The following is a 23,478-nucleotide window of genomic DNA, read 5'->3' as shown; positions in this document are numbered from 1 at the left end:
CAGGTACAGAGGGCTCCCTATCATCTGATCCCTGACCCAATGTGCTGCGTAATCCCCTGCCCTCTCCAAGCATCCTGTGTTCCAACCATATGAAGCTATTAAAACTCCTGACTGGGCGCAGTGGCTCACGCCTGTAATCCCAGAACTTTGGGAGGCCGAGGTGGGCAGAGCACGAGGTTAGGGAGCTCAAGACCAGCCTGGCCAACATGGCAAAACCCCGTCTCTAATAAAAATACAAAAATTAGTCGGGTGTGGTGGCAGGTGCCTATAATCCCAGCTACTTAAGAGTCTGAGGCAAGAGAATCACTTGAACCCGGGAGGTGGAAGTTGCAGTGAGCCAAGATCGCACCATGGCATTCTATCCTGGGTGACAAGAGCAAGACTCCATCTCAAAAAAGAAAAAAAAAATCCCTAAGCTTATTATGCTATTTTGTACTGGCTGGAAAATTCCTACTCATTCTTTAGACCACTTTGAAGCTTCTTTGCTACACATTCCTAGGCTCAGGAAATAAAAGCCAATAACTTCTCATTTATGCCCGTATTATTCCTTGGACATGTTTCTATGCATTTGCACTGCATTTTAACTCTGTGTACATTACCCATTAACCTGTGATAGCCTTAAAGACAGAGATAATATCTTAGACATTTTTGAGCCTCTAGAACCTGAAACAATATCTGATCCATAAATATTCAATCTATTGAATGAATGTATTCCTCCAAAGAAGATCTCCCCAAAAGATTAAATGCTCAAATATTAGAAAATGGGCTAAATGACAAGGATTAGTCAGCCTTTGATCTAAATTAATTCAATAAGTCTGAAGCTTGATTAGTATCATCTACTAGTTCTTCTAGTCCCTAATCCTTTCTCTTCACTCTGATGTGCTAATTCATGGGCCATTTGGTGGAGGACACAGATATTTATCCGGTGAGACTCTGGAAAGACCAGTGTTTGCAGTGTTTATTTTTTCAGGAACAAAACGAAATAAACTGAGTGATTTCCATCAAGGATCAACTATTATCTGTTGTGGAACCTATTATATGCCAGGCATTATACTTGGCATTGAACGTGCAAAGATGACACAAACATAACAGAATTATGCCCCCAAAATCTATTAGGGTCCCAAAGAGATATTTGATTAATTCTGCCTGAAAGACTGTGCATGGTCTATGAATTCATGAAATGTTAGTTTGTGAAAGCCAAAAGGTGACATCTTAGATAATAAATGGCTATTGTTCACAACAACATTTATACAAACAAGATGACAATAATGCATTTGTTAATTGTACTCTATTTATGGAGAGGAGCCCAAGCTGTAGATGGCAATAGTGGCTATTGCAGAAGGCAATGATAAAGTAATCAGCAGAGCCAGACCTATGTGAAGTTGTTTATTGAGAGGTTTAATCATTTGTATATCAGGGAAAGCCTTATGCCTTAATTACAGTGATAATAGAAAAAAGTATTGATTAGGCCTGGATTTCTGTCATGAAAGTAGAGATTACAAGGTATCTTCTTTATCAGTAGACCTTGCTGACTTTAAGAAAGGCAGACTTTCCTTCAGTCTTAGTTTTACGGAAAAATGAAAACTTATTTAATAAAATTTTTATAAAAAAGGGAACGAAAACCTCAGAGATATAAATAAATGATTCAGAGTCACACACTGGCAGTCAATTTCACTTAGACCCTAAGCCCACCCTCTTTTCACCACATCCAAGATTGGATTACCATCAACAATTGACTGGATACAAGTGTAGAGTGTTACTGAATCCCCCCAACCGACTGATCTGTTTTGTTCTAAATATGCTGTGGTGCGGCAAAGGGCACACCAATCGAGCATAGTAATGAATGATACATGTAAAATGGGTGCATTGCATTCACACTTTTACTGTCTGAGCCTCATACTAGACGTAAAATATGAATAACTTGGGAAGAATAGTAATTTAAGGACATCAGGAAAATAGAGCTATGGTTTAAAATTTCACGCAGCTTCAAGAGTAGACAAGCAAATGAAATTTCCCATTGTGATTTCTGTCTTCATGTGGTGGAGCTTGTGACTTGAAAGGTGGAGAAAATGTCAAGAATTTTGGTTATAAACTATTAGGCACGTATCAGCCAGTAGTGGGAATTGCCAGGATCTAGAGGCAGATAGGCCTTGGCTGAAACCCAGCTCAGTCACTTTCTACCCTTGTAATACTGGCACTCAGTTTCCTACATAAATGATAATACTAATAGCTGCCTTGGAGGGTGGCCGTCAGGAACAAACAAAATAATGTGCCAAGAGGAGCCCGGCATGAAATTCTTAGTGAGGCTCCCACCTTTCTCCTTTCTTTTGTGAGGCCCAGACTATTTGTCAGGTTCAGATTGGCTCCCCAGCCTTCACCCTAAAGCCAACGTTAGAATGAAGTGAGTGAGGCAGTCAGCTCAGGCACAAAATTTATGGGGATGCCAAAATGCAGTAATCAAGATAAACAATATAATGAATTATTTTAACAATCAAAATGCCAAAAAAGCCCATGATAAATAAAATTTCAGCAGTTTAAAATTAAGATAGGGTCCAACCCTTCATTTACATAACTTAGCCTCACTTGCCTCACCACCACACTGGCCCTGCCGGATCCTGTCTTTATTTACAAGTTTGATATTTTGTTCTTCACGGGTTTCTCATACTGTGATTTTAAAAATCATTTCAGTAAATATTACTTAGATTGATGACTGAGTTTTTTGGTGGGCATTACATTTTATGTCTGAGCCACACGTATCACTCACCTCCTCTTAATCTTGAACCTACTACTTCCTTCTCCCAGGCCCCAGGTCTCAGGAGCCTTTCCTATCTATCCTCCCTCTACGAAGTTGGCATTCTAGTCTTAGGGCTGCTCAGTGCTAGACTTGCTGCAGTGGGAGGCAGTCTATCAAGGGCAGGCTCTTTTTGTCTTACGAACCATTTTGAAGATATAAGGATAAGACAAATGTAAATGGAAGAGGGCCATTTTATCTGCTAGGAGACACCCACACAGAGCCAGGAACCATTGAGGTAGAGGGGAGAAAAGTGTGGTGCTGAACAACCTAGCAATTCCACCTCTCACTACCTGTGTAACCTCGGGAAGTTACTCAAGCACTGCCCTGTGCTAGCTGTGTCATCTTGGGCAAGTTATTTAAGCTTTCTCCTTACTGGTTTTTTCATCTAGGGCAACTTACTTGAGCTCCCTTACTAAAAATTAAAGATAGCTGTTGTACCAGCTAGATTGCAGGTAGCTAGGTAGCTTATGCAGATGTCAGACCTCTATGTCCCTTTTCCATCTCCTTTTGATGAGAATGGTAAGTCTGCTTACCCTTGTATGTTCACATAAGGAAAAAATTAACCTATTTAAGGCTTGATCCCTGATTTAGCAACAGAGGGGTCCTTTGGGCCTGAATAACTGGCTACTTAGGTTCTAGGGGAAGAGTCTTTCCTCTCTGTTTGCTCCAGCCACTTGTGAGAGTCTTGCCCTTGACACAGCACTGCTCCTCTGTGCTCAGCTCTGTGCAGACTAGAAATCCTGCCCTATAGCTTTTCTATTCTCCACCATTGAAGGATCTTTGAATCCAAGTGCAGTTGTATTAGTTGTGTGTTTACTATGTGCATAGTACTAGGTGAGGCATTTGAATGACATCAAAATTCTATTCTCTGCTATTTTACAAATTTGATAAAAGTTAAGGCTTACAGAAGCAACTGAGAATAATAAATATATTAAAGTCAAAACTAAGGAATAAATAAGAATGGAGAAAAGAAGAGAGACATTTTCGAGAAAGATTTCAAAAGCTATTAAAAAATAGTCATGGTCTTGATAGTTCATGACATATCAAATGTCCCAAGAGAGTTTTCATTTAAAATTTGCCTTTCATATTTTTCTAAATGGGAAAAGTAGTGTTCATTTTCTTTTTGTGATAATTATAAGCTCTTGTTTCTACATAAATATTCATAGGTCTGATATGTCCAAACGAGGCAGGTAACGATCTTTATGTGCATTTTTTTCAAATTCATTTAAGATCGACTTTAAATATGATTTCCAGCCATTTCTTGAGAGTCAGCTGCTTTATTGATGATCTGAAACCTCTTTGTCTTCCTTTTCTCCAGTAGAGTCATCCATCATCAGCCCTATTAAGGGCCTGAGAAGCTGAAGACATTCTAGCCCATTTTTTTGTCCACAGTAAACTTGTCTTCTGCCTTGTGGAGTTATACCCTAGAGGATCCTCTGCATTACAGACTGAAAGCTCCATGTTAAACTGGAAGACAGGGCACAAAGTTGTCCTGAAAATAAATTGTCATTAACAGCCATCAGTTAAGGAGGATATAAAACATTGTCAGAGCTAAAAGTTGATAAGGTTGATGTTTATTGAGTTATTTCCTACAGAAAGGACAGGAACTTTTTCTAAGCCTGTGACTGACAGAGGTGTTTTATATTTTCAGCTTTGACTACCTGCCATTGCTAGTAATAGCTTACTGTTTGGTAAGTAGCTTACTAGCTTGCCAGTAGTGATAGTTTACTAACTTGGTAAGACCATGTCACATAATGTATCAACTGATCATAGAAAATTTTTCCTAGTTCAGATCATTCTTACCTATCATCTTTTCCTATCTTTCATACATGCTCAACCTCTTCTTCATGCCAACCAACCTTACCATTCCTACCTCTTCCCTACCCAGTAAGTTTTCTGTTCAAAATTTTTAGCCATATCTGCATTGCTTTTCCTAACACTATACATTCCTTGCGAGTCATATGCACTTCTGTAATCCCTAATCCTTAGTAACTTCTGCTGTTCATGTTCTCTGGGCCACGAACCATGGTGAGAGAAAGCAAGGAAAATAAGAACTCTTGACACACTCAGTATTCTTGCTCTCTGATTTCAGTTGGCAATCACTTCACTCGTGTTGTATTTTCTATTATGCTCTGTGTTAATAGCTGTTCAAATCCTCTTTACTTTCTCTTACACCCAACTACTTTTCTCACTTAGCAGATGTATTATAGGTCAAAGTTATTTTGCAAGTGTTCTCTCACCTACCATTCCTCCACTGAAAAGTCTATTTTTTGTTGTTTTCATTCTCCATTCTCCAAACTTCCGTTTTAGTTTTGTTCCCATTCTTTAAATCATTTGATTAAAAATAAGTTTTTAGGTTTAATTTACATTCAATAAAAAATGCTCATTCAAGTATACCATTCAGTGAGCTTTAACAAATGTATATACCCATGAAAAATCACCAAAATAAAATTAATTTTTCCATAACATGAAAAAAGTTGACACATACCACTCACTCATGGTTAATCTCTAACACCCATGATAATTCAAACACTGATCTGCTGTATCATGAGAGATTAGTTTTGCCTTTCTAGAATTTCATATGAATGAAATCATATGGCATGTGCTCTTTTATTTCTGGCTTCTTGTGCTTAGCATAATATGTTTCATGCTCATTCATGTTGGATATATCAGTGATTTTTATACATAAAGTTTTGTTTGAACACATCTATTCATTTACACATTGTCTATGGCTGCTTTCATGCTATAACAGCAGAGTGGCGTAGGTGTGATAGAAAACATATAATCTACAAAGCCTAAAATATTTACTATCTGCCCTTTAAAAAAAGTTGACAACTTCTTATCACAGTGGTTTTGTTGCATAGAAGTTTTTATATTTTTAAATTATTCTTTTTAATTTCTATAGGATCTGTAGCATAGGATCTAATGCCTGTAGGATCTATAGTGTCTCAATTATGACAGGTGTTAGAGATTAACCATAAGTGGTATGTATCAACTTTTTTCATGTTATGGAAAAATTATCTTTATTTGGGTGGTAGTTTCATGGGTTTATACACCTGTCAAATCTCAGGTAATAAGAAACCATTTCCATTCCTGATGTTTTGGTAATTTGTTTTTTTTTTCTTGATCAGTATAGCTACAGAATTATCCATTTCTTTGATCTTTTGTAATATCCAGCTTTTGGTTTCATTAATTTTGTATGTTTTCTAGTTGATTGATTTCCATTTGTTTATTATTTTATTCACTGATCTTTGATTTAATTTGCTCTCCTTTTTATTCTTAAAGTAGGATCATAGGCCATTGATTTTTTGTTTCAAGTGAAAGCAAGTTTATTAAGAAGGTAAAGGAAGAGAGAATGGCTGCTCCATAGGCAGAGCAATGGCTTGAGCTGCTTGGGTAAGGATACTTATTGTTACTTCTTGATTATATGCTAAACAAGGGGTAGATGAATGAGTTTTCTGGGAAAGGGGTGGGCAATTTTTGGAATTGAGGGTTCCTCCCCTTTTTAGACCATATATGGTAACTTCCTGATGTTGCCATGGCATCTGTAAACTGTCATGACACTAGTGGGAGTGTCTTTTAGCATGTTAATGCATTATAATTAGCATATAATGAGCAGTGAGGACAACTAGAGGTCATCTTCGTTGCCATCTTGGTTTTGGTGGGTTTTGGCTGGCTTCTTTACCACATGTTGTTTTATCAGCAAGGTCTTTGTGACCTGTATCTTGTGCCAAACTCCTATCTCATCCTGTGACTTAGAATGCCTAACCTCCTGGGAATACAGCCCAGTAGGTCTCAGCCCAGCCTCATTTTACCCAGCCCCTATTAAAAATGGAGTCACTCTGGTTCAAACATCTCCAACATACTCCTCCACCCCCACTCCCCTTTATAAAAGAACCCTTAATCCTAAGGGTTGTAGATGGATGAAGATCCATCTCCAGTAACTTCTTCAGACTGAATAGGGGTGATAATATTCCTGCCTAACTATTAGGGTCTCTTGTATTTGGGGTAGAGAGGAAGCTTAGTCAGAAAGTGTCAGTATGTTGTGGGCCATTAATAACTCTTGAGTTCCGACAAAATGTGATATCTGGAAGATTAATGAGTGTCCAATTTAAGAAAACATTCAGTAAGTTTATCCTGCATTCCTACACAAAAAGTACAATAGCAATATTCCACAACATTAAAGAAAAATAAGCAAAATTATCATAAGTAAACTAAATAAAAAGGCTCTCCAGGACCTGGGCAACTGCTGGAACCAAGCTGCTATGGGGTCGCTGGCTGATTCCAATACATATCCAGAATTAGAATACTGATCCAGATTTTTACATTACCTATCCCTCTTGTTTCTTCTGAGCTGCAGCCAGAGATCACTGGTTGGTTCATAGGAACAAGTTTAAATTGCAGAAAAAAAGAAAACTTAAAGACAACTGAGACTAGAATCTAATAACAAGTGTACCATAGTTCCTGAAATATAATTTTTCTCTTGCCAGTTTCCCATTTTTACTAAACAGAAATCATGGTAAGACTTATTTGCTTTATTATACTTGGCCTGATTATTCATATAAAGTGAAGCAAGAATAATTATTTTTCACATAGGCTTTTAAAATTGGCTTTGATGAAACTTTGTTCCATAAAAGGAATCTCAGATAAGACTTTTTTAAGGCCAAGCTCAGCCAACAGTTTGTACCCTCAAATACCTATGAGTTGGGTAAATTCCTCTCCCCTTGATGTCCCAAGATAACTTGGGGCCCCTAGGCCTGTTAGAAAGTGACATTCTTTACTTACCACAGGTCAGAAACCCTGCACGGGGACGGTGTAAATAAGGTATAAGGCTAGTTTTTCCAAGGGGCTTTTATTGGCTCTATAAGTCAAGTTTGATTCCTTAAAGGAAAGCATACCATTCCAGTCAAAGCCTTGGTAAAATCACTAGTTTCTCCAATTGTGTCCTGTTACAAAATAAAACAGATTCTTATTGCACTTATGCAAATAACTAAATTGCCATAAGTTAAGAATACTCACAACTAGTTTTCAAATTCTGGAGAAATCAGGTAGAGAGAGACGAATGTGCTCCAAATTTTGTTTACAGGAGTATACCTTACTCAATTGTGAAAAGCTACAAGTAGCTTAAAAAAAAGTTTTTCTTGATTCTGAAAAACAAAACAGGATCAGCAACATTTTAAGCAAAGTCAAAAAGGTTACTTCAGCCTTCTATTAGTTCAGTCCACACAGTTAACTTCTGTCCTGCTTGATATTCACAAACATTTCAGCTGTCAATGAGTCCTGAAAGTTTTTATTCTATTCTGATGTCACAATCTCAAAGCTTATTAGAAACTTGCATTCGAGAGCACCTGTCTAAGTCCTATATCTGATTATAAGCCACCTTTTGAAGAGGATCAAAACAAGAAAACTATCTGTGGATGACAAAAATCTTAGGAGAGCCACTGTTAAAGCCACAGTTGAAAAGGAAATTTTGGTTACTTCTGTGGCATACAACAATTTTACATAACGATTATAATCATTAATAACATACCCTAAGTCATATTAGAATTATTAGGAATTTTCCATAATTTTGGAACACATACCAATAACATATTTATGCAAATATAGCCCTAAGAAAGCCAAACACTATTTCACATTTGACAATGCTTTCTGTATGGACTTTACACCAAATAAGCCAAATTTCACCTTTACATTAGTGTACTCTTAATGATAAACCCAATTCTTAATAAAACCTTATAGACAAATTTACTCAATTTTAATCCGTTTGACCATAAGGTAAGATTCTTATAAACTTGTAATTAAACATCCTCACCTCCCCAGCAAAGTGGATCATAAAACTTTTATTAATATAACCCTTTACAATTTTTGGGAAAGAGCAGATCAGTGCTCTAAGAAAAACCTGTTGTGCTTTTATTCCAATGTTCAATTTACATAAAAACTGAGTACCCCTTTAGCCAATATGTTCACACACAGAATTTCTCTCATGAGTTACTTTTTACAAACCTTCCACAACTTGTTCAAACCTTCAGCTTTATCTTATCTAACTTATAACAATCCTTTAGCCCTTTAATCTAGGCAGAAAAAAATCCACATTCTCATGACTTCTTATCTTTTACCAAAAACACATTTCACTTCCTTTACACACCTTGCATGTAAAACAGTTTTTATTTCCCAAAGATTACTAAATCATGTGAACTAAAAGGCATTACAGATTTTATTTTTCTGATAAAATATTTGATTTAAGCTCTTATTTTTTTAAACCAATTAATCAAAGCCCTTTCATATCAAACACACAACATATATAAATATACAGACAGACAGAAGATCCAGTAGTTGTAAGATTTTTCATCTGCCAGTTTCTTAATTGGATTACTGGCTTCAGGGTGGAGCCCTTGGAGGAAGAGGGCCAGGAAAGCATGCAGTTTCAACAGCCTGATAAGCAGGCACAGGTGGAAGGCAAAGTAGATCCTCCAAAATTAAGGGTCCCATTTTATACTAGATCCTGCCCCCAACTGCAAAACAAAAAAGTGGGGGAATCAGCCCATTTCCCATGGGAGTCTTATCTCTCAGTGGGAGATAAGAAGGTATTTCCATACCTTCAAGGTGGCCAAGAGCATGCTTCTCTAATCCAAACATGCAAACACCTAAGTATTCACCCATAACTGCCATCAGCCATTCCTAAAAGTATATTTCCTACCTAGTTATTACACACCAAAAGTCCCTCATAATGTGAAGTAATTTCTGATACCACCAAAAGTAAAAAATGTCAGATAATGCAATGCAAAACAGAACAAAGTCTTAGATTTTGAGCAAGATGTATCCATTTTCAATTCCTGGGGTTCAAAGAGGAAAACAGAGGTTTTGCCCAAAACCGGGTCCCTGGAACCTCCTGTTTTTCCCAAGAAGTCCCAGGCTATTAGAGCTTGAATTAAGCTGACTGTTAACTATAGTGCTATTAAAAAAAATCCTTGAAAATGTCTTATTACCTGACTTCGGCCACGCCAAACCACCAATATTTCTGGCTTTTGAATTTTACCAAAGGTAAACTCCAAGGTGCTCAAAGAAAGGAAAATTTCCCTGAGAACCTGGAAAGGAATTTCTCTGGGTACCAGAAAGGACTCATTCTCTAAGCCAGGAATTGAACCCTGCACCTGGACCACCATTGTGAAAAGACAAAGCCTTAGCTACTGAGCCAGAGCACTGCGCAGTATCCATTATCCTTCCCAGAAGGAACCTAGATCAGCCAATTTTGAGCTTGCAAAGGCTTTTAACTGTTCAAGATTATTTTTAGGGCTATTACATGAATCCCCAAACTCCTGTCTGCTGGATAGTGGAAACCAAGGGAAAATATGACCACATGATTACAAGGTCAAGGTCCCAAAGACATAAAATAAGACGAAAGGGAAACTTCATCCAGTTTTTTTTGGTTTTTTTTTTTTCAGGGACTTGCATCAAAGTTTATAATTGACCAGTTCGCTGGGCCATCTTGAACAGTGGGCTTACAGGTGTCCTAGGGCTGCATTCCATCCTAAAGTACCCCTCTTTATGAAAGAACAATACAGAAAGACGCACAAAGCACACCAGATTTGCTACAGTTTAAGACTAGCCTCACAAATTCTTTTCTCATTAATCAAAACTTTACCCGAGATAAACAGTGATTTTTACCGTTCATTCAACCTGTTTGCAGAGAGAGAGAGAGACAGATAGAGAGAGAGACCAGAAGTCAGACTGATAAAAATTCTTACCCTTTTGCCGCATGCTAGGCTTCTGGGTTCCCTTTTCCTAAGTGGCCCTAGTAACCCAGCTCAGTGCACCATAGCACTGGGGGCCAAGCTGCAACACAAAGGAAAATTATCTTTTTCCATTCTGGCCAGAGCAAAATACGTGTGACAAAACATAGACATTAACCACTCTGCTTAGCACCCAATATCACACTGGCAAGGCTCAAACTTGCCCCTGGTTGGGCTGGGTCATCATCAATCCAACCTCCGACAAGGAGTTTCAACATGTGGTCTCTGGGCAAGATGGTCACCCTGAGTAATAGAAAATATAAGAAAGGGGGCCAGGCGTGGTGGCTCACGCCTGTAATCCCAGCACTTTGGGAGGCCGAGGTGTGCAGATTACAAGGTCAGGAGCTCGAGACCAGCCTGACCAACATGGAAATCCCGTCTCTGCTAAAAACACAAAAATTAGCTGGGCATGGTGGTGCGTGCCTGTAATCCCAGCTACTCAGGAGGCTGAGGCAGGAGAATTGCTTGAACCCAGGAGGCAGAGGTTGCAGTGAGCCAAGATCGCGCCACTGAACTCCAGCCTGGGTGACAGCGAGCTGCATCTCAAAAAAAAAAAAAAAAAAAGAAAGAAGAAAGAAAGAAAGGGAAAGGAGAGAAAGAGAGAAAAGCATTGCCTGTGGTAGGCTGGGGACAGCGAAGAGCTCAGGGAGGCCAGAGAAAGACCCACCCATCCCAGCAACACTGAATCAAAAGTTCAGGTGGCTGCTTGTCAGTCAAGAAGGGATCTTTTTCAGCAGTCCCATTAGCTCTTAAGTGTCCCTGTTTGGGGAGGAAAAAGCTCCCCATGTCCCATGATCCTGTACGTGCCTAATTATGTCACCCATAGCCATCAGCAAAGAGTGCAAGGCAGATTAATCCAAAGAGAATGGCAGTTAACACCCCATAGTATCAAATCCGTTCTTAGCCAGGAGGAACTTTACTGGGAGGGGCCTCACACCCCCTACATCTTAGAAGGGACTCTAACCCTGCTAAGTTAGGCCTCAAATCCAACTTCAGTCATGCATCCTTGCCTTTTATTAAGAGAGGCCTTTAACCCACTCCATCTTAGGAGAGATTCTAACTCTCCTAAGTTGGGCCTCTAACTCTATCCCGTTTTTCACCCGGGTACACCACTACTTACCCAAAGTTAGCCAATTGGTGCTCCAGTCCATTTCCTTTGGGTCAGAAGTCTCCTCAGTATCATCCCTTTGGGGTTTGCCAGGAAGATGTTACCAGAAAGGGGTCCTGATCCAGATCCCAAGAGAGGGTTCTCAGTTCTTGTGCAAGAAAGAATTTGAGGCGAGTCCATAGAGTAAAGTAAAAACAAACTTTTTTTTTTTTTTTTTTTTTTTTTTTTTTTTTGAGACTGAGTCTCGCTTTGTTGCCAGGCTGGAGTGCAGTGGTGCGATCTCGGCTCGCTGCAACCTCTGCCTCCTGGGTTCAAGCGATTCTCCTGCCTCAGCCTCTTGAGTAGCTGGGACTATGGGCGCACACAACCACGCCCAGCTAAGTTTCGTATTTTTAGTAGAGACAGGGTTTCACCATGTTGGCCAGAATGGTCTCAATCTCTTGATCTCATGATCCGCCCGCCTCGGCCTCCCAAAGTGAACAAGCTTAATAAGAAGGTAAAGGAATGGCCACTCCATAGGCAGAGCAGCCGACCACTGATTTTAATTTTTCTTCTTTTCTTGCACAAATATTTATAGCTTTATCTTTCTAAGCACTGTTTTAATTGCGATTCACATATTTTGAAGTGCTGTATTTTCATTTACTTCACGATATTTTCTTATTCCTTTTGTGACTTTTTTTCTCTGACACATGAGTTATTTACAAATGTAATATTTACTTTCCAAATATTTGGTAATTTTTCAGATGTTATTTTATTATTGACTTCTAATCTAATTCTAATTAAATTACAAGCATATTCTGTATGCTTCCAAATATTTTAAATTTATTGAGACTTGTATTATGCCTCAGCATGTGCTCTATCTTAATGACTATTCCATATGCATTTGAAAAGAATATGTATCCTGCAGTTTTTTTGGATACAATGTTCTATAGATATCATTTTGGTCAAGCTTGATAATATTGTTCAGATCACTTACATATTTATTAAGTTTTCCTTTTGTCTAGTTGTTTTATAGATTGCTGAGAGATGGGTGTTTAAATTTCCAACTATGAGTATGGATTTGATTTTTCTTTTATTTGTCATTTTTCCCTTTAATGTATTTCTGAAGCATTATTAGTTATATACACATTTTGATTCTTAGGTCCTCCTAACACTTCATCCTTTTATCATTATAAGCTTTCTCTCTTTATCTCTGATAATATTTCTTGTTCTGTAGTCTACGTTGATAATACAATTACTTCAGCTTTCTTCTAACTACTTTTGTAATAGCATATATCTTTACATCATTTTATGTCGAACTATCTTTTCTTTATATGTAAAGTTCATCTTTTGTATACTGAATATAATTAATTTGCTCTTTCACTTTTATCCAGTATGACAGTCACTAATTTTTCATTGGGGTATTTAAACCACTTACATTTAATGTCATATTTAATACGACTGGGTTTAAGTCTAACATAATGCTGTTTTCTATTTGCCCTATCTGTTCTTTTTCCTTTTCCCCCTCTTTTCCAGTCTTCTTTTGGAATTGACAATTTGTGTAGCATTTTACCTTCTTCTACTGATTTATCACAAATACATTTTATTTCATTTTCAAATGGCTGCACTAGAATTTAAAATATTACTCTGTAAGTTGTCAGGATCTACTTTCAAATAATATACCTCTTCTCATATCCTTAAAACATGTTTTCATTTCACCATATCATCTTTTGTGATATTTTTGTTATATTTTTTACATCTACATATTATATAAATACATCAATACATTGTTTAAGTATTGCTTTAAACAATACTTAAAACTTTAGAAGAAGTTTTTTATTTTTATGCATTTTATTTTTTATTTTAGATTCAGGGGAAATATGTACAGATTTGTTACCTGGACAAATTGCATGACACCGAGGTTTGGGCATCCCATCACCCAAGTGGTGAACATAGTTCTTGATAGGTACTTCTTCAACACTTGTCCCCCTCACTTCCTCCAACTTTTGGAATCCCCAGTGTTTATTGTTCCCATCTTTGTGAACCCAATGTTTGGTTCCCACCCATAAGTGAGAACATGTGGCATTTGTTTTTCTATTTCTGTGTTAATTCACTTAGGGTGATGGCCTCCAGCTATATCCATGTGGCTGCAAAGGACATGACTTCATGAGGTTTTATGGCTGCATAGTATTCCATGGTATATATATATACACCACATTTTCTTTATCTAATCCACAATTGATGAGCACCTGAGTTGATTCCAGGTCTTTGCTATTGTAAACAGTGCTGTGATAAACATTCAAATGCAGGTTTCTTTTTGGTAGAACACTTTCTTTTCCTTTGCGCATATACCCAGTAATGAGATTGCTAGGTCAAATGGTAATTCTATTTCTAGTTCTTTGAGAAATATCTAAAGTGCTTTCCATAGGAGATGAACAAATTTTCATTCCCATCAACTGTGTATAAGCATTCTCTTTTCTCCACAACGCTGCCAACATCTGTTATTTCTTTGACTTTTTAATAATAGCCATTCTGACTGGTCTAAGATGGTGTTCCATTGTGGTTCTGATTTCCATTTCTCTGATGATTAGTGATGCTGAGCTTTCTTTTCATATATTTTTTGGCCACTTGTATGCCTTCTTTTGAGAAGTGTCTATTCATATCTTTTGCCCACTTTTTAATGGGGTTATTTGGTTTTTACTTGTTTAGTTGTTTAACTTCCTTACAGATTCTGGGTATTAGTCTTTTGTCAGGTACATCATTTGCGAATATTTTCTCCTATTCTGTAGATTGTCTGTTTACTCAATTGATAGTTTATTTTGCTGTGCAGTAGCTCTTTAGCTTAATTAAGTCCCACTTGTCAATTTTTGTTTTGCAATTGCTTTCAAGGACTTAGTCATACATTATTTGCCTAAGCCAGAAGAGTATTTCTTAGGTTTTCTTCTAGGATTTTTATAGTTTGAGGTCTTACATTAAAGTCTTCATTCCATCTTGAGGTAATTTTTGTAAATGGTGAGAAGTAGGAGTCCAGTTTCATTCTTCTGCAAGTGGTTAGCCAGTTTTCCCAGCACCATTTAATAAATAGGGTGTCCTTTCTCCATTGTTTACTTTTGTCAACTTTGTTCAAAAATCAGCTGATTATAAAGGTGTGGCTTTATTTCAGGGGTCCCCTTCTGTTCCATTGGTCTATGTGTCTATATTTGTACCAGTACCATGCTGTTTTGGTTAAGGTAGCCTTGTAGTATTGTTTGAAGTTGGGTAATATGATGCCTCTGGTTTTATTTTTTTTGCTTAAAATTGCTTTGGCTATTCAGGCTCTTTTTCAGTTTCATATAAATTTTAGAATAGTTTTCTAATTCTGTGAAGGATTGTCTTGGTAATTTGATAGAAATAGCTTTGAATCTGGAGATTCCATTGTATAGTATGGACATTTTAACAATATTGATGTTTTCAACCCATGAGCATGGGATGCTTTCCCATTTGTTTGTGTCATCTATGATTTCTTTCAGCAGTATTTACAGTTCTCCTCATAGAGAGCTTTCAACTCTGTGGTTAGATGTATTCTTAGGTATTTTATTTTTGTGTGTGTGGCTATTGTAAATGGGATTGCATTCTTGATTTGACTCTCAGCTTGAATGTTATTGTATGTAGAAATTCCACTAGTTTTAGTACATTGATTTTGTATCCTGAGGTTCTATTGAAGTCATTTATCAGGAAGAGGAGTATTTGGTGGAATCTTTAGGGTTTTCTAGGTATAGAATCATATCATCAATGAAGAGAGATAATTTGACTTTCCCTTGGATGCTTTTTATTTTTCTCTCTTGCCTGATTCCGCTGGCTGGGACCTCCAGTACTATGTTGAATAAGAGTGCTGAGAGTAGACATTCTTGTCTTATATCAGTTCTTAGGAGGAATGCTTCTAGCTTTTGCCCCTTCAGTATGATGTTGGCTACGAGTTTGTCACAGATGACTCTTATTGAGGTATCTTCCTTCAATGCTTAGCTTGTTGATAGCTTTTATTGTGAAGGGATGTTGGATTTTATCAAAAGCTTTTTCTGTGTCTATGGAGATGATCATATGGTTTTTATTTTTAATTCTACTTGATGAATCACATTTACTGATTTGCCTATGTTGAACCACCCTTGCGTTCTGTGAAAAAAGCCTACTTGATCATGGTAAATTAACTTTTTGATGTGCTGCTGGATTTAGTTTGCTGGTATTTTGTTGAGAATTTTTGTGTCTATGTTCATTGGGGATATTGGCTTGTAGTTTTCCTGTGCCTTTGCAGATTTTTGGCATAAAGATGACACTGGTTTCATAGAATGAGTTAGAGAAGAGTCCCTCCTCCTCAATTTTTTTGAAATAGGTTCAGTAGGACTGGTACCAGCGCATCTTTGTACATCTGGAAGAATTTAGCTGTGAATCCATCTGGTCCAGGGCTTTTTTTGGTTGGTAGGTTTTTTTTTATGATTGTTGATTCAATTTTCGAACTTGATATTTGTCTGCTTAGGGTTTCAATTTCTTCCTGGCTCAATCTTGAGGGGTTGTGTGTTTCCAGAATGTGTCAATTTCCTCTAGATTTTCTAGTCTGTGTGCATAGAGATGTTCTTAGTAGTCTCTGAGGATCTTTTATTTCCGTGAAATTGGCTGTAATGTCATCTTGGTCATTTCTGATTGTGCTTATTTGGATCTTCTCTCTTTTTCCTTGTTAATCTATTTATCAGTCTATCGATTTTGTTTATCTTTTCAAAGAACCAACTTTTTATTTCATTTATCCTTTGTATGGATTTTGGATCTGAATTTCATTTAATTCTGCTCTGAGTTATCTTGTTACTTTCTCTAGCTTTGGGTTTAATTTGTTGTTTTTCTGGTTTGTTTAGGTACAAGGTTGTGTTGTTAATTTGGAATCTTTCTATATTCTTGATGCTATAGTGATGCATTTAGTGCTATAAGTTTTCCTGTTAAGACTGCTTTTGCCACATCTTAGAGGTTTTGGTATGTTGTACCTCTATTTTAATTTGCTTTAAATAATTTTTTGACTTTTGCCTTTATTTTGTTGTGTACCTAAAAGTCATACAGGAGCAAGTTGTTCAGTTTCCACATGTTTATATGGTTTTGAAAGTTCCTCTTGGTATTGATTTTTATTTTTATTCCACTGTGGTCCAAGAATTGCATAGTATAATTTCATTTTTTAAAATTTGCTGAGACTTCCTTTATGACAGAGCATGTGTTTGGTCAATTTTGGAGTATGTTCCCTGTGTAGATGAGAAGAATGTGTTGGGAGAATGTCCTGTAGATATCTATTATGTCCCATTGGTCAAGTGTCAAATTTAAGTTACAAATTTCTGTTAGTTTTCTGCCTCTATTATCTGTCTAATGCTGTCAGTGGGGTATTGAAGTTCCCCACTATTATTGTGGGGTTGATAGTCTTTTCCTAAGTCTTGAAGTAAATGGTTTATAAATATGGGCGCTTCAATGTTGAGTGTGTATATATTAGGATAGTTAAGTCTTCTTGAATTGAACCCTTTATCATTATGTAATGCCGTTTGTCTTTTTTTTTTTTTAACCATTCTTGGTTTAAAGTCTATTGTATCTTATACAAAATAGTGACACTTGCTCTTTCTGGTGTTCCATTTGTATTTGCATGATAGCTCTTTCTCCATCCCTTCACTTTGAGCCTATGGGCGTCATTACGTATGAGATGGGTCTCTTGAAGATAGCAGGAGGATGTCTTCTCTATGTCTTTTAAGAGGAATTCTTTGGTTATTTACATTCAAGGTTAATATTGATATGTGAAGTTTTATTCTTGTCATAGCATTAGCTAGTTTCTTTGTAGTCTCTATTGCATAGTTGCCTTATGCACTTTTTGGGCTATGTGCTTGTGCGTGCTTTTGTAGTAGCAAGTATTGTTCTTTCATTTCCACATTTAGAACTCCCTTAAGTATCTGTTGTAGGTCTGGTCTGGTGGTGACAAATTCCTATAACAATTGTCTATTTGGGAAAGACCGTTTCTCTTTTGTTCATGAAGCTTAAATTGGCAGGATATGAAATTCTTTGCTGGCATATCTTTTCTTTAAGAACGCTAAAAATGGGCCCTCGATCTTTGGCTTTTGAGGTTTCTGCTGAGAAGTATATTGTTGGTCTGATGGGGTTCCTTTTGTAAGTGACCTGATCCTTTTCTCTAGCTGCCTTTAAGGCTTTTTCTTTTGCATTGACCTGGGATCATCTGATGACTATGTTCCTTGGGATTGTCATCTTGTATAGTATCTCATAGGAATTCTTTGGATTTTTTAAAAAATTTGCATGTTACCCTCTTTAGCAACATTGGGGAAATTTTCCTGAATTATATCCTCTAATATGTTTTCTAAGTTGCTTACTTTCTCTTCCCCTCTCTCAGGAATGCCAATAAGTTGTAGACTTGGTGGCTTTATATAATCCCATATTTCTTGAAGCCTTGATTTTCTAAATTCTCTTTTTCATATTTTTGTTTGAGTGGGTTGATTCGAAGGACTGGTCTTCAAGCTCTGAAATTCTTTATTCTGCTTGGTCTAGTCTGTTGCTAAGGTTTCCAATTGTATTTTGAAATTCCTATAGGGAATTTTTCAATTCCAGAAGTTCTGTTTGGTTATTTCTTAATATAGCTACTTTGTCTTTCAAATCTTGGATCATTTTTCTGGCTTCTTTCTGTTCAATTTCAACTTTCTCTTGGATCTCACTGAATTTCTTTTTCATCCATATTGTGAATTCTATATCTATAATCTCACACATTTCATTCAGATTAGGATACATTGCTTAGGAGCTAGTGGAATCCTGTGGAGGTGACAAAACACTGTAGCTTTTGATATTGCCAGAGTTTTTGCACTGCTTCCTTCTCATCTGAGAGAGACGTTTTTTTGTTTTGTTTTGTTTGTTTGTTTTTAATTTGCTATTGTTTGGATGGGGCTTCTTGATTTTTTAATTCTTCTTTCCCTTGGGGTTATGGCTGTTACGTATATTGTGTCTAATCAATTGGCTTCACTTCTGGGTGCTTTTAGGGTGCCAAGGACCTGTAAAGGTTCCTTGGTAGCAGATATGTTTATGCAATGACTCTTTCAGATATTGCTTTTTATAATGATGTAAGTTTATTTGGCAGTGTATTTTATGCTGCATTCCAATAGACGGTGCTTAAGAGCCAGCAGGTAGGGGAAGGGGTGGAGCCAACAGAGAATCGTGAAAAGTGCCCTCTTCTGGCATGTATTCACCTTCAGAGGGAGATGAGCCACTGGAGAAGCCTGCAAAGCAGAATTTTTCAGTCCATGTTCCCCAGGCCCAAATGGGGAACGTCCCTGCTGAGCCTGCAACAGCACATTGAGAAGGGGGGTGGGAGGCAAGAGATGACCCCCTCTCCATGTCCATTCCTGGACTTTGGTGGTGTTGCCTTCAGTGGTTGGCACTGCATTCATGTTTCTTTTGACCCATGGGGGACTTTGGTGGGCTGCATTCTGCCCTCCCTTACGGGCAGTCTGTGCCAAGGGTTAGATTTCCAGGGGAATGGGGTCTGCCTCTCTCCTGCTCTTCAGAGATAGTGGAGCACTGTCCCCCAGCTAACCAAGGGAACAGGCTGGGACACCCAGTAATGACACACGGAGACCAGTTCCAGGTCACAAAACCGTTCCTGGCTGCATGTCTTACTGCCCAGGAGAAACCTCAGCTTCAGCAACTCTCCTCCTGTTCTAGTTCTGTGATGGGAGAGAGCCTAATTCCAGTGCCTACTGTTGGGGCACTGTCCACACTCATTACTCAATTTTGGCTGTTGGGTCCCTTCCCCTGTCCAGAGCCAGCACTCCAATCTCTGCCCCAAGGCTAAAATGCCAGCTGTAACCACCATGGCCAAGTCACCAAGCAATGTCTCTAATGATGATGCCAGCTGTGGGCTTGCAACTGCAGAGGTTGGGACCCTTTCAGACAAGCAGCGTGGACAATAATCTGTGAGGAGTGTGGTCCACTTGAGTCTCAGTCTCACTAAAGACTGTAACAGAGTGCTGGGTATTATCCTAGGCAGGAGTAGGAGAACCTGGCTTCCCTTCCCTTCCTTGGCTGGGTGGCAGCTAAAGCCACATCAGCCAAAATTCAAGCCAAAGGTGGGGTAGGGCTCAGCATTACAATCTCAAAATGATACTTTGGGCCTGCAACCAGGTAGGATGAGGCACTGTCTGGGCAAGAAGCACGGGCAAGAAGCTGTGGGGAATGCAGCCCAGTTGGGTCTCAGTCTCTCAGTAGCTCATTGCAGAATAGTGGGTATTGTCCAAGATATGCATAGGATGTCCTGGCCTCTCTGTCCCTCTTTGGCTGGGTGGCAGCTGCAACTGCATCAGCACAAACTTCGGCCAAGGGTGGGGTGAAGTCCAGCATTAGCCTCTCAAAATAGCACCTTAACCTGGGGCCAGAGCTGTGGCACCATCCAGGCAAGAAGCATGGGCAAAAATCTATGTGGGGTGCAGTTCACTCATGTCTCAGTCTCAGCAGCAGCCCCTTGTAGGGTAGCAAGTATCCTCCTAGGGTTGCACAGGCATGCCTGTTCTCCCCTTTTCCTTACTGGAGCAATGCAGCAGCTGAAGCTCTGTCTGCAGATTCCCAGTATCTATGTTCTGAAAATACTGCCCAGCTGAGGATGCTCCAGGCTCGGATGCCTGTGGGATTCTGTGCGGATTCTCTTTATGCAGGAACATCTCTGCAATATTTAGGCAGCTCTGTATGTCAGGCATGAGGCTCTAGTGGGTTGAGGGTTTCTCCTGTAGCAAAGATCATGCAAGCTCATTTCAGAGCTCTGGGGATTTCTCTCTTACTGTCTCCCCGTGTCAAGAAGCCTCTCTTGGTGCTGCCAGTTCCCAGCTGGGGAAGCTGCCTCAAACCCCCTCCTTACTTCTAGCACTTCCTGTCTCTACTCCAGTGAGTCCAAGTGTTCTCTCCTAGATAATCTGCTCAAAATATATATACTTATTATTCTGGTTCATCACCATGGAGAAGGAACACACTACCTGTGTCTACTCAGCCATCTTGATCCCTCTAACTGAAAAAAAATTTTTGTGAAAAAATGTATTTTCCATTTAGCCACAAACTTTACCATTTTTGGTCCTTTTTCTTTTTGTAGAGACAAGTTTTCAAATGATATTTTCTTTCAGCCTAAAGATCTTTCTTTAATATTGCTTATAGTATAGGTTTGGTAGGAATGAATATTCTCAGCTTTTGTTTGTTTGAAATGTCTTTATTTTCCTTCACTTAAAAAATGTTTGCTGGATATAAATTTCTAGGTTGGCCAATTTATTTTTCTTTCAGCAAATTTCAGACACTATTATACTGTCTTATGATTTGCAGGGAAGATTCCATTCCTTGCCTCTTCCAGCTATTGGTGGCTGCTGGCATTCCATAGCTTTTCATGGTATGGTCAAGATGACTTCCCTGCTGTCCTGGTTTAGGAAGCGAATATCTTGTAAAGCTATTATTTAGATTACCACAACCTATTTCTTTTCTTCAAGTAAAATATTTCCTGTCCTTTCAGCTTCACAGAATGTCAGTTGAACACACAAAACTCAGAAGTTAGAAAACAGCTTCATCCCTGAGGTGATTTATGAGGACAAACAGTAGGAAAGAAAGTTGGAGACAGCTGTGTAAAATGTAATGTAGGATACAGAATATATTTGAAGTTGCTTTGAAAATTCAGTGTTTCAATATGAGAAAGGATTCTTGAATACATTTAGATGAGGAGAAAGTGAGAGCTAGCATGAAAATCATACATTCACAAAGAAAAACGCAACACACAAAAAAAGAAGGCAATGCTGAACGTCGCCATGAGCATCTGGATATCACAGTGAAGCCTAGGATACTGCAAAAAGAAACAAATCTAGAAACGGGAAAGAAGACAGTAAAATAGTGATGATGAAGAAAGTCAATAAGAAAGGAAAAAGGAAGAAAGGAACTAGGTCTCAAGAAAGCAGGCTAGGACTAGTGCAGGCTGGTGGGTGGATCCTACATACAAGTCTGAAATAGAATCTAAGTTGATAAATTACTAGAGATCATTTGACCTGAGAAGTTTAAATTGAATTGATTAAATGATATAATGAACTATTAAAAGACATGAAACTCAACAAAGAAACTAAGTTAAGTTATGATACAAGGTAATGAGATTCATTCACTTAGTCACACTTGACAAGTATTTACTGACCACCTACTATGTGCCAGGCACTGCAGTACCAAAGCAAACTCATCTTCCCCTCATAAAGTTTATACTCCATTGAGGGAAATGGGTGATACACAAATAAAAAAATAAATGAGCAGTGTTAGAAAATTATGAGATATAACAAAAATAAGGCAGAATAAGAGAAGAGAGAATGACAGGAGTCAAAATTTATTTATCAATAGAGCAAATGTTCAAGGTGCACCTCTTTGAAGAGGTTGTATTTGAGCAGAACCTGAAAGAATACAGCCGTCCTCAGTATCTGCAGGGGACTGGTTTTAGGAACTCCCTTAGGCACCAAAATCCATGTCAAGTCTCTGATATAAAACGGCATAGTATTTGCATGTAACCTATGCACATCTCTGATGCTCAAGTCTCTGACATAAAATGGCATAGTATTTGCATATAACCTATGCAGATCCTCCTGTATACTTTAAATCTTATCTAGATTACTTATACCTAATACAATGCAAATGCTATGTAAATAGTTGCTTTATTGTATTTTTTTATTTGTATCCATTTTTATTGTATTATTTTTCCCCCAAATATTTTCAATTTGCAGATACAGAACCCATGAATTTGGAGGGCCACCTGTATGTGGACTGAGTCACAAAGATTTGGAGCAAAGGTGTTCCAGGAAGATAGAAGAGCAGCTAGGTAAATAAATGGTGGTACTATTTTGAGATGAGGAAAAGAGACCAAATATCTATTTTGCACATGTTATGTTTGAAATAATGATTACATGTGCAAGTGGAAATGTCAAGGAGGTAATTGTCTATCCAAGTCCATAACCCTGAAGAGCACTTTGAACCACAAGTGTTAGTTTGGGAGTCATTTACATTTGGATGGTAATCTATTTCATCAGACTGATGTGGTGGGATGAGTACAGATAGAGGGCAGGAACAAGCACTGAGTCCTGAGGCACTCCACTATTTAAAAGTCAGGATGAAAGAAGCAACCAAAAACAAAGACACTGGGAAAGATTCCGTGAGGTAAGAAGTCCAAAGAATGTGAAACCCTGGAAGCCATGTGAAAAATGTATTTCAGGGACATGTAATTTGGAAAACCAGTGTCCTAACTTTATAGTCAACTTTGTAATTTTTACCAGCGAAACTCTCTTATATTCAAAATAATTATATTCTATTTTGAATAATTATATTCAAAATAATTATATTCTATTTTGAATAATTATATTCAAAATAATGGAGTGCTAGGATGTAGAGGCTTTCAGAAAGGCATGGGAAAGGAAAAAGGAGAGGTTGAGGGAAGTAGCCAGTATTAGTCCATTCTTACACTGTTATAAAGACATATGCAAGACTGGGCAATCTATAAAGGAAAGAGGTTTAATTGACTCACAGTTCCACAAGGCTGGGGAGGCCTCAGGAACCTTAATATCATGGCATAAGGTGAGAGAGAAGCAAAGAAACATCTTACATGGTGGCAGGTGAGAGACAGTGAGCGAGTGAGCGAGTGAAGGGGGAAGAGCCCCTTATAAAACCATCAGGTCTCATGAGAACTCACTCACAATCACAAGAACAGCATGGGAAAAACCACCCCTAAGATCCAATCACTCCCACCATGTCTCTCTCTTGAC

At 38.2% G+C, this 23,478-nt stretch overlaps 1 long non-coding RNA gene across 4 annotated transcripts in view; it reads right to left on the bottom strand.

The window, feature by feature from the left end:
- Positions 1-1,373: 1,373 nt before the first annotated feature.
- Positions 1,374-23,478, bottom strand: part of LOC105370169 (uncharacterized) — a 38,623-nt gene continuing 16,518 nt past the window's right edge. The window contains exons 2-5 of one of the 4 annotated variants that reach the window (NR_187781.1): positions 11,705-11,840; positions 10,540-10,627; positions 7,814-7,941; positions 1,374-4,286 (exon numbers count right to left, since the gene is read on the bottom strand). This is a non-coding gene — a long non-coding RNA (uncharacterized LOC105370169). The remainder of the gene's footprint in view (positions 4,287-7,813; positions 7,942-10,539; positions 10,628-11,704; positions 11,841-23,478) is intronic. The other 3 variants (NR_187783.1, NR_187782.1, NR_187780.1) reach the window with 3 other exon arrangements.

The sequence above is a fragment of the Homo sapiens genome, chromosome 13, assembly GCF_000001405.40.
Source record: "Homo sapiens chromosome 13, GRCh38.p14 Primary Assembly".
Taxonomy (NCBI): domain Eukaryota; kingdom Metazoa; phylum Chordata; class Mammalia; order Primates; family Hominidae; genus Homo; species Homo sapiens.
The sequence above is the reverse complement of the archived record's forward strand: the minus strand, read 5'-3'. Positions and strand labels throughout refer to the sequence as shown.